We start from the raw sequence: 15,911 nt of genomic DNA, 5'->3' as shown, positions 1-15,911 counted from the left end.
GGGCTGGATGTCATCCGTGTGTGCTAATGGGAAGCATTCAAAAGTAAACCAACTCCATCCCTGGGCTTTCATGGGAGGAAAGACAGCTGTACATTTTGAAGGCACCGTGGAATCCCTTCTTTTTGGTATTCACGGTGTTAGAGAACCTGTCAGGTGAAAGCAAGAATAAGCCCACACTCGAAAAATAAATAAAATAACCTCAGATTCTAAAAGTCAACTACATTCACACTCTCCCATCCAAAAGAGATCTTAGAGCATATCAGAACAACAGAGAATGATTCAATTTGGAGGTCTGGCATTAACTGAGAGCTTTGTGAATTAATATGTTAATGTTAGTGTTTCACAGGACTCACTAAGAGAGTGACCCTGTGTCCCTCACCTGACCCCCTCGGGAGCATCCTAACACACCCTGCTGGTAACCCGACATGAAAACTAGCTGCAACAGGAAGGAACCTCACAAACTGAACCTTCTATCCTAGTGCCTGCCGAGCCGTAGCAAAGCAATGTCTGTTTCTCTTCCAAGGTTTAGAAAAGACCAAGGGAATGTTATCATCAGCAATGAGAAAAAAAGTTGATTGGCTTACTTAATTAATTAAGGGAAGCTAGTTAAAACTTCTCAGATTTTTTTTTCCTCTAAACACATAGAAATAGTCTCTGATTTTCTGCAAGACACTTTATGGTGTCGAGAACAATATGTGGTTTTGATGTCCGGGTCAACTCATAGAGTCAGGCTCTCCCATCCTTATTGGGCACTATTCATAACTTGGGCATGACCTGCCCTCTCTTTCTGAATTGGGATTTTGGAACCAGAAGGAACATCAGAGGACACCGGGTGTGACCTTCCATTCCACTGGCCAGGAGCAGTCGGAATAAGTAACTATGCATGTGCTCAGGGCTTTGCATTTGCAAAGGAGGTTCACAAATGCCGTCTCATTTAAACTTCATAACTTTAAGTGGGTGGTGTTGTCCCCATTTTACTGTTGAGGAAACTGAGGCTCAAAATGTCAGATGTCTCACCTGAGGTTATGCAGCCGATGAGCAGCTGAGTCAGAACTTCAAACAAGCTGCCATCTCCAGTGAAGAGCAAGTTCCCGTTGATGTTGCTCTGGGACTTAGGGTGGTGTCTCTTGGCTTACAGAATAAAGCCCCACACTCATCCCCACAGTTGAGACCCTTCGTCACGTGGCTGGCCAGCCCTCCATCCCACTGCCCAGCCTGATGGACTCCTGTATCAATCCACAAGTTTCCTGGCAGACATTCAATATCCCCTCGGCTCTCCCGCTCCCATGGCTCTGCTTCCACTGACCTCTCCTTGGGAAGCCTTTTCCTAGTGTCTCACTACCAGGCTCACCTGTTCTTCCTGGACCAGGTCATGCCACCTCCTCCAGAATGACTGCCCAGATTCCCCTGGCCAGGAATCAGATCTCATCCCTCAGTATTCTTAAAGCTGCCCAATTGCAATTCATTTATTAGTTGTATAATTAGTTGTTGGATGACCATTCCTCTCCTTGACTGCACATGCCAGGGAGCCAAGGACTTCGCACAATGCGTGACACACAGTAGGCATTCAAAAATGATGTGTAGAATGAGTAAATAGATGAATGAATGAGTGAATGGATGACTGAATCACATATCCAACATCTTTTATGTGCAGGAACCTGTGCCAAGCATGTTACACGCACGGTACATACTTTAGAGGACTGCAGTCAAGATGAAATGAGATAAAACAAACAAAATGCAGGACCCAAAGTCTGACACATTATAGATGCCTAAGAAATCTTAGCTGTCATGGTTATCATCATCATTTTTTATTATCAGGATCATCATATTGTCTCAATTAAATACTTAACAACACTTTTTTACCTCCGATTTTATCTATATTTTACAGATGAGGAAATTGAAGCTCAGAGAAGTTAGGCAGCTTGTCTAATGTCACACACCTGGTAAGTGGTAGAGCTGAGATTTAGGTGGAAATTCAAACCCAGGTTTGTCTGACAATAGCAAAGCTGTCTCCTTGGCCATCACACTATTCCACTGCCAAATTTGCAGGGAGCCTGGAATTGCATCGTTAAGGTGGCTCTGAAGTGCAGAACCATGGCTACCCCATCTCCCCACCAGCTCCAGACCAAAGTACTGTACTACACAAGTCAAGTTTTGTTGCTACAATATTCTTTGGGACAGAAAGAAAATGTCTACAGAGCAAGTTTAGGACACAGGTGGCTTCTGCAGCCACAAAGTGTTTTGTTCTTTGTCCTTGCCCATTTGTCCTCAATCAGCTGAGCACACAGGTGCCATAATCACTCTGGATACCAACCCAGACAAAGCTGCTTTGTAGATGATGGCATCAGAAAAATTTGAAGAACCAAAAGTGATAGTTGGAATGTATCCAGTGATTCTCTGATTTTATACAGGAGGAAATTGGGAGCTGGGCATGGTGGCTCACATCTGTAATCCCAGCACTTTGGGAGGCAAAGGAGGGAGAATCACTTGAGTCCAGGAGATAAAGGAAATTGGAGACCCAAGAATAGTCAGCAAATTAGTTAGAGGGCCAGACCAGAGTTCAATCCTCCGCCTTCTAATCGTTCTGCTTTTTTCTACTACACAAATATTTTTCTCAAATACGTGGCTCCATGTTTTCTGTCCACTAAAATGTAAAGTCTTTAGAAGTAGGGAGTAGAACATAGTCTGGTCCAAAGTCAGTATTTGCTCACCATCTGTCCTTCCCAGAACCTGCCCAGTGGAGCCCATCCAAACACATGAGGGTCTCCGACATGGTAGAGGGAACCTCAGCAGAGATGAGGCTATGGCCCAGATTTCAGTATCACTCAACCACTGAGAGGGGCAAGAGTCATTGCAATTATCTTGTCCAGTGTTTCTCAGTCTCACTTTAACTAGGGACCCTCTTCTGTCAGCAAAATCTCAACAATAAGTCTAATTTGAAAGCAGGAGTCAGAGCATTCAGATCCTGTCCACCTCTATCCCCAGTAAGGTCCTCCATAGGCACAGTTGGAAATCTTATCATCTGGTCTACCCGACCTGTATATGCCAATCACCATGACAATAACACCTGTGTCCAAAGTTTATTTCTCACTTATCTCATGTTCCAATGCAGTGGGGTCTCTGTTCCATACAGTCACTCGGGGACCAGGACTCTTCCATCGCATGGCTCTAACATCTCCTAGGACTTCAGCATCCTCCATCAAATCTCCTACATCTCTCCAGCACAGAGAGAGTGAGTTGGGGCTGCACAAGAGGTTTATCCCACTTCCACCGACACTGCACAAGCCACAGAACAATTCCACAGCCCCATCTAAGTACAAAGGAGACTGGGAATTATAATCTGAGTATTCAGGAAGGCAAGATGGGATTTGGTGAACGCACAGCATTCTCTGCCATTTCATCACTTTATACGTGAGCACTCTGAGGTCCAGAGAGGGAAGGTGGCTGTTCCCTGGTCACACAGCTTGCTAACACCAAAATCTATTGACTTCCCAGCCAGGTCTCATCCATGCAGTGCAATCTGCACCCACAGGAGGCAACATAGTAAAACAAGAAAAAAACAAACAACAACGATAAAATGTAAACCTTTGCAGACAGGCAAACCTAGATTTGAATCTTGACTCTACAACCTATCAGCTGAGCCAGGTTGGATAAGTCTCTGGCTCTCTCTGAATCTTAGTTTCCTAATCTACAAAGTGGAGATAGAAATACTGACTTCAATAGATCATTAGCAGAATTCCATGCACATGGAACCCCCCAGTCCAGGGAAAGAGGTAGTGGAGAAAGAGACTTAACCCCCAAAAGCTTTTATTTTGCCCCACTCTTGCACCCCCTGGGCCCTTCTGATCCCCCTTTCCCTGCTCTAATATTTCTTCATAGCAGTTATTACCTTCTAACAAAGTATATAATTTACAAATGTATCTTTATTGTTCATGTCTGTATTGCTCTCTAGAATGTAAGAGATTTGAAGGTATTTTGTTTGGTGATCGTATCCCAAGATCCTAGAACAGAGCCTGGTACAAAGGAACCACGCAGCAAGCACTTGATGAATGAGCGAATTATTCAATCAATTACTCCATCACAGGATGGCAGCTAATTGTCATCATGCTCATTCATTAGTCTTGGTATTGTCCTCCTGGGGCATCTATCCTCTGAAGTTCTCTCTCCTTTACCCAGTTTTCACAAGGAATATGCTACTGAACAGACCCTGGGTTGTTCATTCCTCACTTAGTCACACCTGTTGGGAGGCGCTTTGGAATCGTAGCCCATGGCATCAGAGTGCTTGGCAGAAAAGCCACCAGAAATAGAAAAATGTAAAATTACTCTGGTTCTCCATTCCTTTTACACAATACCTTCAAATCTCTTACCTCATGGAGTTTGCATTCTAGGGAGAGAGACAGATGTAAACAATAAAGATAAGTTTGTAAATTATACACTTTGTTAGAAGGTAATAAATGCTGTGAAGCAATATTATATCCTTGCCTCCCATTGGCCAAATCTATCTGGAATCCAGAGAAAAAGAGATTTCAGAAAATATTTTCTGAAATGCAGAAGGCAGAGAATAGCAGGGAATGGATCCAAGAGCAAACTGGCACATAATGTTGTTATTTTTTTCATCCCCAGCATCGGAACATACCTGGCACATAGTAGGTGGCCATTAAGCGGTTCATTAGATGGTAGAAATAATGAATTCTATATATTTTGTGTCCTGCACACTTTCTGAGGTTGAAATCTTACATGATCTATTTATAACTGACTCCAGTGATCCCCACCTTCTGGTCTTAACACACTTGTGTCATCCCGGCAGTTGAGTGTGAATAGAACCTGTGACTTTCTTCAAACCAATAAAATATGGCAAAAGTGATGGGAAGTCACTCCTATAATTATGTTAAACTAGTTAAGACTCATATTACAGATGGCCTTTGCTGGCTTGAGGAAGTGAGCAAACATGTTGAGGAAGTTTACATGACAAGGGGCTGTAGGAAGTTTTGGCAGTTGTAGGCAGCCTCTTGGAGCTGAGAGAGACCTCCAGGTGTCAGCCAGAAAAAGCCACTGCCCCAAGACTCCTACAGATGCAGGGAGATAAATTCTGCTGAGAACATGAATGAGCTCAGAAGCCGGTTCTTCCCCAGTTGAGCCTTCATATGAGAATGCAGTCAAGTCAATGCCTTGACTATAGCCTTGTAAGACCTGAGCAGAGGATTCAGCTCAGTTGATCCATTCCTGGACTGCTGACTCATAGAAACTATGGAATAATAAGTGTGTGTCGGTTTAAGGTGCCCAGTTTGTGACAACTTGCTACATAGCAACAGAAAATTAATATGAACACTAACTTCTTGGGGTGGGGAAGGGAAGGGCAATAAATGTAGAAGCTCATGCTATGCAATTATCAAATTCCATTTTCTTTCTCCCCAGCAGATAACTAAGCTACAGTCTTCAGCTTCCTTGCCAGAGATGTGGCCAGGTACCTGAGATCAAGCCAAAGAAATGTATGCAAAAAGCTACAGCTGCCACTCCAAGGCCTGTAGTGCCAAGTAACCCTCTACTTGCTCTTTCCCTATCCTCTGGCTGAATGGCGAGGCTTCTGGCACCTCAAGGGTGCAGAGCTGAAGTGGAAGCCAGATTCCTGACTCCATGCATGAGAGGCTGCCTAACACTCATTTTTAAGGAATTAACCCAAGTCAGAAATAAATACTCGTTTTGTTAGGCCACTAAGATTTTGAAGTTATCATTTGCAGCTAGTAACTATTATAAATAGGAAGGTAAATAATCTGTTTTGAGCCCTCACTATGTACTAGGCACTTGGCTAAACACTTTACATAGGTTACCTTATGCAACTATCTGGTCAAGCCTGTAATGTAGGTATTGTTCCTCCATCTTCCAGTTTAGAAAACTCAAGCTCTGGGAGGTTAAATAACCAACCCCTCACATGGCTAATAAGTAACGGAGGCCAAGTTAAAAACAGACTCTCTGACTCCAAAGTCAATGGAATCTCTAAAAAAGATATGACCTGCAGAAGACAGGAACGAGGTACTTTGGGACATGAAAGTAACAACAATTCACTCTGATCAAGAATATGGGCACATGCTCCAGGAGGAGGAGGCCTGTGAGATGGTCTTTGTGGATGGACAGTACTGAAACAGATCAAAGTGAGCAATGCATCTCCAGCACAGGAAACAACCTGGCAACCTGGGCACATGGACAGAGTTGGAAAAGTGCAGGACCCAGATGGAAGGGTGGGGGGGGAGCCATGTGACCAGGGTGCAGGTGCAATTGGAGATAAGGGGGTGGCAAGGCTACAGAAGGAGTTTGGGTTTAAATTATGGAGGACCTTGGATTGCCAAAAATAACCATAAAAAATAAATAAAGGCCATTTGTACTTACAATATTAAAGGCTTTTGAATAGAAGAGTTATATAATCATAGCTGTACATCAGAAGCCTAATTTAGCATAATCTTATGTAAGCATAAATACTCTCCTCTAATTCTTGTATTGGTGAAAATAACACATAGTTTTCTTCCTCACAGTTAGAGAGATTTACCAGAAGTGATTTCAGTAAGCACTAATAAAACCCCTTCCTAAGCACACAGAAGTAGTTTCATTAGATGACAGTCACACTTGCCATGTTTTGTTGGCAGCAGCACCATATCTACAAGTGTATATGTGTGTACACACGTCTATGTGTGTAACACAGAAATATGCACACAGCCTGTGCAGAAGGGATGCTTAGTCCAGGCCAACGCTGCCACTGGCACACACACAGGACAGACAGTGATGCCAATGCCTCCTAAAATGCTGTGTGTCTCTTTCACATTTTACACAAGGGGCAGTCATCTGCTTTGCAATTCAAGTCCCTGTCATGTCTTCAGACACGTGACAGGTTTCCTTTTCATAAACAAAAGAGCTGTTATCCCATCCATGACCACAAACAGCATCCCATAATTTCAGGGCCTGAGAAGGAGCATCTGAAGGGCTGCTGCTTGCTGACTTCCATTCAGTTCCACAGATACATGCAGGCCGTGGGCAGGCTCTTTGGGCATAAAGAAATGACTCCTGAACCATCTCCCACCTAAGGGAGCTTCTAGTCAGGAGGATAAACTAGACATACCTGCAGATGGTTAGTAGAGGGTAGTTGTGACTGTGGTGGTCCCTACTGTGGGTTGCTGCAGAGATACATTGGAAATTGATTGGCCCAACATTTGGATGGACATTTTCAAGGCCACTGCAAATTCCCATGACCCAGTCTTGAGGCGCTCCTCCTTCCCAGCTCCTCTACTTGAGCTCAGCCCCTGAGCAGAAAGAAGGGATTTGAGCTGAGCTCATGAAGGCTGCCCAGCACAGCAAATGGAATACAAACTTTGGAATGCAAGCTCAGCCCCTGAGCAGAAAGAAGGCATTTGAGCTGAGCTCATGAAGGCTGCCCAGCACAGCAAATGGAATGCAAACTTTGGGCCCCAATATCTGGGTTCAAATTCTGGTTTGACTGTTCCAAAGATCCCTAGACTTTGAGTAAGTGACCTACCTTTTTTAAATACTAGAGAATATTGGGGGAATTAAAAAAGAGACTGATAATTGATTAGGTGCCTGGCACAAAAAAGGTGCTCAGTAAATAACTGTTATTATTACCCATAGTTCCTTCCCTTAGTGAATATTGTGTGTGTAAGTGGCACTGTGGAGATATTTGGAATTTGAGGCAGATGTTTCAGTGAGTTAGGAACTTCTGGGCAGTATGTGATCTGTCTTGATCACTTAGACCCAAAATGCCAAGCATCAAGGTCATTTCAAGTCTAGAATCATCAACCAATACATCCTCACTTTGGACCAGCTGCAAATCTGATAAGAAACCTTCTCTTTCTTCATCTGGATTGGGAGAAATGATCAACTGGACTGAGCCTGAGGCAGAGGCCTGGGCGCAACCAGAATTCCTTCCTGAGCAACGACATTGACCCAATGATTGATTTCCTCTAGTATAATTGTTAACAATAACTCCCTAACACCTCCTGGTATTTTACCCCCATATACTCATCCTTTCTGCCAAGATATCCTGAGAGATTTGATCAAGTTCCTCAGGGACTCCAACATTAGACACAAGTATGATGTTCTCTGAGATGAAGATGGGAGTTTGCTCAACAGCGTTACAGAACAAAATTTGGGTCTGCTTGCTCAGTGCACAGAAAAAGCCAAACACTGACACCAGGATTTGCAGCGAGAGAAAGTGAGACATTTATTGCAGGGTCTCCAAGGGTCCCTCCAAGCAAAGAGGGATGGGCGGCTAATACTTAAAACCCAACCTCCCCAATGGCTTACAAGCATGGGTGTTTTTAAGACAGGGTACATTTCAGGAAAGCAGAAGTTACCAGCAAAAATGTAAATCAATACATGGAGGTTATGCATTGCTTCAGCCCGAAACTGTAGGACACCTTGAAGTGGGGCTTAGAGGTCATAGATGGATTCAGAGATTCTTTCACTTGCAACTGGTTAAGGAAGCAAGGCTTTGTCTAAAAGCTTGGGGTCAGCAGAAAGGAATGTTAAGGTCTGGCCTGTGGACATCACTCTCTCCAGGCCCCACAGGAAAAAATTTAGAACAAAGAGTTCAGTCCTCAGTTCCCCCTTACTGAGGTCTACATGAGAGCAGTGGGCATTTTCCATCCAGTGGGGATGTGGGTTTCTGAAAACAACTCAAGAACATGGGTTAAGATGTTATCTTTTTGTTTCTACAGGGAACAAAAACACCTTGTGAGCCTTCCTCGCTTGGAATATGATTGCTTAAGTTACTACTACCTTCCTGTTTGTCAGGTTGCTCATTTACTTCTCAAGACTAACAAGGTGCCTGGAATTTTCCTTGAAGGAACTCAAGATTTTTCCTGTATTTGCATGCTTAGGGGGGTCCCAGCAGGCTCCTAAAAGGTGTCCGTGCTCTATCTCAACAGGGGCTCATGAAGAGTGATAATCACAGGCCACACTCGAAACCCTCTCGATAGAGATTCAAATCTGGACTCTACCATCACCATGAAGCTTTCTGAGTCCCCAATTTCCTCTTTAGAAACATTAAAACCACAAGCCAGATTCGTGGGCTTGCAGAGGAAGTTCACTGTGATACAGCCTGATTCCCCTCTAGCCCCAGGCCTGGCCCTTGTTAAACAGTGGCCCCTTTGCTCTATGCAAAGGGTTTCTAGCTAGAAACTTGGAGGGGAAACAACGCCTTTGCCCTTCTAAGCCAGGTGCATAGGTTTGCTTGCTTGAGTTCATCTCGGAAGATGAGAAAAGGGGCACCAGTCCTGGATACTCTCCAACAAATCACTTACCAAATCTCTATACTTTTTGGCAGAACATTCCAGTTTCTTGCCTACTCCAAGAACAACATTTGCAAAAGCACATCATGGTAGACACATTAGTATATCCGAGACTGGGATGATTCTGGCCAGAACCAGAGAGTGCCACTTTCTCCCTGGGGGTTCCTTTCTGAATTAACAAAGGAGTGTCAGAGCTTGATTTGAATATTCCAGCCATTAATCCTGGGCACTAGCTCCTTGGGTGCTTTGAATACATTTTAAGGATCATTGCAAATTTGATTGCCATCAATAAAATTGCAAACAATATAATTATATTTGTTTGCTTATGTCTAAATAGGTGCACACATGTGAAATGTGAGTATGGTAATACAAGCAAACATGCATGCATATACATATTCGTGCTTTCAGATGTATAAAGATTCATACCTACACAGCACAGAAATGCACTTATATAACTTGCAAAAATAATCTACTTCTTCTATGCTATACCGGAAAAAAAAAATCAAATCTAAGCACGGAGGAACTGAAAAAACTACATGTATCATTCACCTGATTTCAATTGTGCTTCCCTTTGAACCTCAGCCAAATCATTTTGTACATTAAAAATTGGTCAGGGATGATAAGATTCCATTTTCATGGTTGGTAATGCAGAACCAGGGAAAGAATACAATTACAGACCCCTGAGTAAACTCTGCGAATGTCAACTTGATGTAAATGATCAAGTGTCGACAAAGGGGCCAGGCAGGAAGGGAGGGCTTGGAGAGGAAAAGAGAGCTGAACTCCAAAAAACAGAAAGAGACAGACAGACAGAAAGAATGAGAGATAAGACTCCAGCATCCCTGTCAGACCATCATGTGACTGAAACATGGAGCTCTTGGGGCCCAGGAATTTTTTTAAGCACTTGCTCTCAGACCGGTCTTGAGTGTGCCAAGGTTGTGCACCTAAATGCATTTATTCATTCCCCTAACATTTACTAGGCACCCACTTAGGCCAGTCAATGCCAAACAAGGAGAATAAAATAGGTTGACTACAAAAGGCTCAGGTCAATCCTGTGGTATTTCCCAGAGGAATAAGAATAGCAGATGTCCAAGCAGAGAAACTACACTGGTACCCAAGGCTTTCGTGCAGGTGGACACATGTACAAAGATCCCTTCTGAGAGAGAAAAGTCAATTGGCTCAGCCAACTCCTCTCACCATCATCTGGGTCAAGGGGATAACACAAGATAGCCCCATTTTACTTTAAGGTTGCCCCTAGTGGGACATTGTGCTTCAAGACATAGCCAGAAGATGAAGGGTCTCAAGGATCATATCATGCAAGAAACTGTTGTAAGAACTGGGACTGTTTCTCTTGAGAAGCAAAGACTCAGGGGCATGATGTCTGTCATCAAACACTTAAAGGAATGTTGAGAGTTGGGACAGGGTAAATCAGGCTCCTAGAGACTTTTGGAGGTCAGACTCAGAACCAGAAGGTAGAAATGGCCAGAGCAGATTTCTGTGCATTGTAATAGAGGCATGCCCAACAACAGACTGAGCTACTTTGGAAGGTAAGGAGCTCTCTGTCACTGCAAATATGACAGAAGGCTGGTTGATCACTCGTGTGGACTATTGCAGGAAGCATATCTGCATTGGAAGGAGAGAGGTATTGACTGGATGATAGTTAAACATGATTAAAAGGGGAGATCATAAACTAGAATTTGAGTAAGAACCAAACTTGGGGAAGAAGCAGAGGGAGGAGAGTCTGAATTCATAACCTGCCCTCTATATCTCTTACATGAGTTCCCCAGGTCCTGGCTTCTCACATCCTGGGCCATCTTATATCTAGCAAACAGTGTCACACAGGGAAACCTGCATAGCCTCTTGTCCTAGATGGTTTCCACATCCCTTTTCCCTGGTTGGAATGTGCATTCATTCTCCGACTCAACAAACTTGGGCACTCTTCTAGGGTCTGAAGCTACAAAGGTATGCAAGACACTCAAGACCTCTGGTATGTACCTGATCTGTTAGTGCTGGACATGAAGGTAGTCAGGCATGGTCTCAAGTGTTAGTCATGAAGTCAAGCTGGCAGGAGCCCTTCCAACCACCTAGAAACTCATCAGTACTTTTGGGGATATTATATGGCACTCGGTCTCTGGAGCACAGCCAAAGATAAGCTTCACTCAACTGAAGGCAAGGGTTGTACCTTCAGGCCTTCCCTCACCTCTCTGGTCATGGGATGCTGGTTGTTGTGGTGATGGAGGGTGGCAGAATGAAGTAGCCACGAACTGAAATACAGCAGCAGGCCAATGAGTTTTCACCTTATGAAAGGCATTGTCCACATGCGTTCCTTTAAGCCAAGCTTGGGAAGTCATATTGCCACTCCTGTGATGCTAGACTGTCAAAACAGGGCTCTGAGCTTCTGGGCACCATACTGTTTTCCGTCTTCTCTCCATTACCATGGGAGTTCAGGGAGTCAAGGGTGGGTTCCCATTCTGGGAGTCTATGACTCTGGCTGTGTCTTGGATTTCCCTCTTCCCTGCCCTGGCATCCTCATAAGGGAGTCAACTGGCTCTCCTTTAATTCCAGAAATGGAGAGGATACCCAACAGGTTGCTTCCCAGTTGCCTGTGAGGATGGATCATCAAGTGAAATTGAATTACCTTGTGATTACATGTGTCGACACCAAGGCCATCTCCCCACCAGCAGTAGATTCAGAAGAGTTGTCCTTGTGCTCATGCCTTGCCATGGACTCTAATGTGGCTGGAAGGATGTTTGCTCAGCCAGTATCCCTACCCAGGAAGAGCTGGCGATGAACAGGAGGCCAGCAAAGGAGTTCCGCAGGTTAAGACAACAGAGGACCACCAGTATCTGGTTTAGAGAATGAGGTGTGTTGAACACAGCCACTTTTGAGGTCCAATCTTACTAAGCGAACCTCAAATTATACACACCACCATCCTTAAGGGCGAGACCCAGGTCTTATTTTTCTGTTTTCCTAGAGTCTCCTATTATACCTGGATATTTGACTTGCTAGGCAAGAACAGAATAGAACAGAACAGGACAGGACAGGACAGGACAGGACGGAACGGAACGGAACGGAACGGAACGGAACGGAACGGAACAGAACAGAACAGAACAGTGAGAAGGGATTCTCTGTCTTTCCCACAGGTGCTTCAGGACCAGCTCAGTGCTGACTTGGGAGGTGGAAGGCTCTGAAAAATAAGAGACTTCCAAACCCGCTCTTCCAATGGCCCACCAGCCTCATCCATGAGGAAGTCCTGAGTTGTTCTATGAAAAGCACGCTCAGGGAGGCAGGTCTGGGGGCTAAACATGCACACCATGCATGGAATGGTGAAGACAGGAGAAAAGCTGACCCGGGATGGGATCCACTGGGGACTGAGGATTGTGTCCTTGGCAAGACCCAATAAGAATAAGCATTTTGCAGGACAAAAGAACACACATTCCCCCTACCATCCCATCATCATTCAAAAGCTGAGAGCAAGACTGATTTTTCCAATTTATTTTAGAATTATCAACCGAACTGATTAAAGCAGCTATCAACTTCGGTTGTTCTTTATGTGTCGTCCTCATTTCACATTTCCAATGTTTTTTCGCGTGCAGGCTGCATAAATTATTGAAACATTATTTTATTTATCCATCCCCCTGTGACAGAAATAGGTTTTCTGAAAGCAGATCTTTCCCTAATCAGTTTTGTTTTTCTTGGTTTTGCTTCCAAATAGCTCTGTGAATTTTAGCTGACAGATGTGTAGCACTGGTTTGCTTCTTTAGGGTGAACCAAGCCACGGTGGGAAGATAAAGAGAGCAGTTCTGGATTCCAGAGTCCCTGGAAATATATTATTGGTGGAAATAAGTCCCTAGGAGACAAGAAACTCCCCAAATGTGTCCACATAGTGTGCAAGAGGGAGATGGTATAACAACACTGTGAGTCATCAGGGCTTGGGGCAACAGGGCCTAACTTCATGGATTCATCCCCTGGGCTAAAGACCTCCACTTCCAGGCAACGGGTCATCCCCAATGGGAGGCCAGGAAGCAACCAAGTCCCAAGATGACCACAGACAGTTGTGGGTTTTTATCTTGTATAAAACCAGCTCAGTGTTTCCCATCACCACAAAAGATAGATATTCTCGGGAAATCATTTGAAAAGGGCCACTTTGACAGCTACAAATATTTAAAGTGTGTGATCTGTTGCATCTTCATGCCTTTGAGTGGTAGTATTGGGGGATGAGGAGCAATATATTTAGCCAAGGAAGGAAACATGCAGTTGTCAAACCAAGATGTGCCAAAGACAATGCTAAGGCTCCATGTGCTGGCATGAAGGGACTTTCAGGGTCTGGAGCCATGGGACCCACAGAGAGCCATGTATTGTGCTGGTCTCACCCTGAACTACAGTGCATGGGAAAGAATGGGAGCCAGAGGGAAAGATGAGCAAGTCACTCCTCCAGTGTCACTGAAATCTACATCCTCTCAGGCCAAAGGGGAAGGTGACAGCTTGACTTCCTCATGCCAACTGCCTTGAGGTCACAGGTTTGCTTCTGCCCTCCCACCCCCTACCCCCCGCATTGACTGAGGTCTTGGATCCTTAAGGAAGTCACAACCAAATGCTGGCCCTGCCATTTCTATTTAAGAGCCAGAGAGAGATACAGCTAAGATCTAGAAACATCTCAGTTCACAGAGCTGCATCTACACAGCCTTAGGAGTTTGGGGTTGTGGGCTTAGCTCTTCAAGAATGTCAGAGAATCATGTAGAAATGAATCTGGTATACCACTCAACTCTTCAGTGCACTAAAACCTTCCTTGTGTCCATGCCATTCCTAACGTAGTTCCTTGATTGTAATTGCCATTGAAGGTAAGCTATCATCCTCAGGAACAGCTTTTCCATTGTAAGACACATTCCAACCCCAGAAGCCAGAAAGAGGAGAACATGCCCATTTCACAGTGAAGGAGGTGCGGTAAGTATCTTTGCATATGCTGTTCCCTCTTCTTAGAATGCTTTTTCCTTGCCTGGACCCTCCACCAAACTCCTACTCATCATGGCAGTCTTGGGTGAACCACTGACTTCTCCATAAAGATTTGCAGGCCTTGTTCACGCAGCCTATGGCAACCTTTCTTGCAGTGATTCTATCTGAGGTCAGGTTTCCTGCAAAGCAGAGGCTAGACATGGATCTCCACCCAGGCCACATGACTCACTGTGACAGAAAGTTCTTCAGGATAGGTCGATAAAGGAGAGAGGGCTGCAGGACAGGCGAGGAGTTAACAAGGAGACTGTCTCAGGTCAAGCTAGGCCATGACCTGCTCCAAGGGTAGGGTAGGGCCTCTGGAGCATAAACACATCCACAGAGTTGCTCCTTGAAGACTTCGTTCCTCCTGAACTAGTCATTTATCGGCAATCTGCTGCCCCCCAAGCCAAGTGGACGTTCATCTGCCAAGGGCAGTTCTCCACAGAAAGGGGACAGCTGGAGTGTTCACAGCCAGCACTCTCAGCAGCTGGTGCTCTGCAGTGGCTGCATAAAGGGCATCTGCATGGGGCACCAACAGTACCCATACAGACCCGCTCCCCCGGTGCCATTGCGATAGTAATGATCATTTGCTGAGCTCCTACTTAAGTCACACTCTTTAGTTGTGGCTGTGTTTGCCATCCCATTTACCACAGATGGCCTCAACAGAAAGCAAAATCCCTATTGAACAGAAGCATCAGTTGAGTGCACCCTGAGCCAGGCCCTTTCTGGGCTCTTATGGTAGGTTATTACTTGTCCTCTTTTGCCTGTAAGAGGATGAGGTACAGCCACTTATGGCCATGAGACTTCCTCGCCCCACTGGCATCAGGCTTGGTCATATGACTTGCATTAGTCATACTACGGGCAGAAAGATACACAATACCACAACGTGGTAAAATAGAAAAATTCAGGGTTCAGGAGAGGTACCAATGGGGACAAGATCTGATGGCCCCAGATTTAACTAAATGAAAGAAAAGAAACACGCCACCACTTGTGCAAAGTCCCTGTGGTGGAAGGGAGCATCCTGCAGTCAAAGATTTTAATCAAGGCCAATGGCTGGAACGCAAAGAAGGAAAGCACAGTATAAGTGAGGGCTGGAGATTTGGCTGGGGACCAGAACTGCAAAGCCTTGTAGGTCATATAAAGGATTTGGATCTTGTTTTTTAAAGCAATGGAGAGACAGAGAAGAGTTTACCACTGGGCTGTTCTACTAACAGTTGGGTGGCTTAGGCAGGTCATGTGATTTCTCCAAGCTTCTTTCCTTGTTTGTAAAATAAAAATACAGGACAAAGTGACTTACCCTGTTTTCTTCTTCCCCCTTTTCTGCCTTTATTTTATGGTTTGAGGCAGAGAACATTCCCATAGTAAGACACAAGTATCCCAGACCATGGAATCTCATCTTTGGCAGGATTTTCCTGAAATATGAGTGATAATCACATCCACCAACTGTCACATCACACTGTATTTCTACCATTAGTCAATAACAAAATAAAAAATCAATTTGGTTAATCTTCTTCAAACAAAAGAAGAACACAGAAATCTCTTAATAAGAAAAAAAAGCCTATTTATAATCAGATCAAGAAAACTGCACGTAATGTGCTTTGTGCCTCAAAACTAATTTCTTTAAAATTT

General features: G+C 44.4%; 2 annotated features.

Annotated features, from left to right (window-relative positions):
- Positions 7,038-7,539: an enhancer, noted in NCBI's record as "H3K27ac hESC enhancer chr14:97455145-97455646 (GRCh37/hg19 assembly coordinates)". NCBI's record gives its function as "activates a minimal SCP1, AML or CMV promoter by ChIP-STARR-seq in primed H9 embryonic stem cells {active_cell/tissue: H9 hESC(primed)}" and the evidence as "EXISTENCE:reporter gene assay evidence [ECO:0000049][PMID:30033119]".
- Positions 10,529-10,729: a silencer, noted in NCBI's record as "peak2247 fragment used in MPRA reporter construct". NCBI's record gives its function as "represses an SCP1 promoter by STARR-seq MPRAs in K562 erythroleukemia cells {active_cell/tissue: K562}" and the evidence as "EXISTENCE:reporter gene assay evidence [ECO:0000049][PMID:32103011]".

This window comes from Homo sapiens, chromosome 14, assembly GCF_000001405.40.
Source record: "Homo sapiens chromosome 14, GRCh38.p14 Primary Assembly".
NCBI classification, from domain to species: domain Eukaryota; kingdom Metazoa; phylum Chordata; class Mammalia; order Primates; family Hominidae; genus Homo; species Homo sapiens.
The sequence above is the reverse complement of the archived record's forward strand: the minus strand, read 5'-3'. Positions and strand labels throughout refer to the sequence as shown.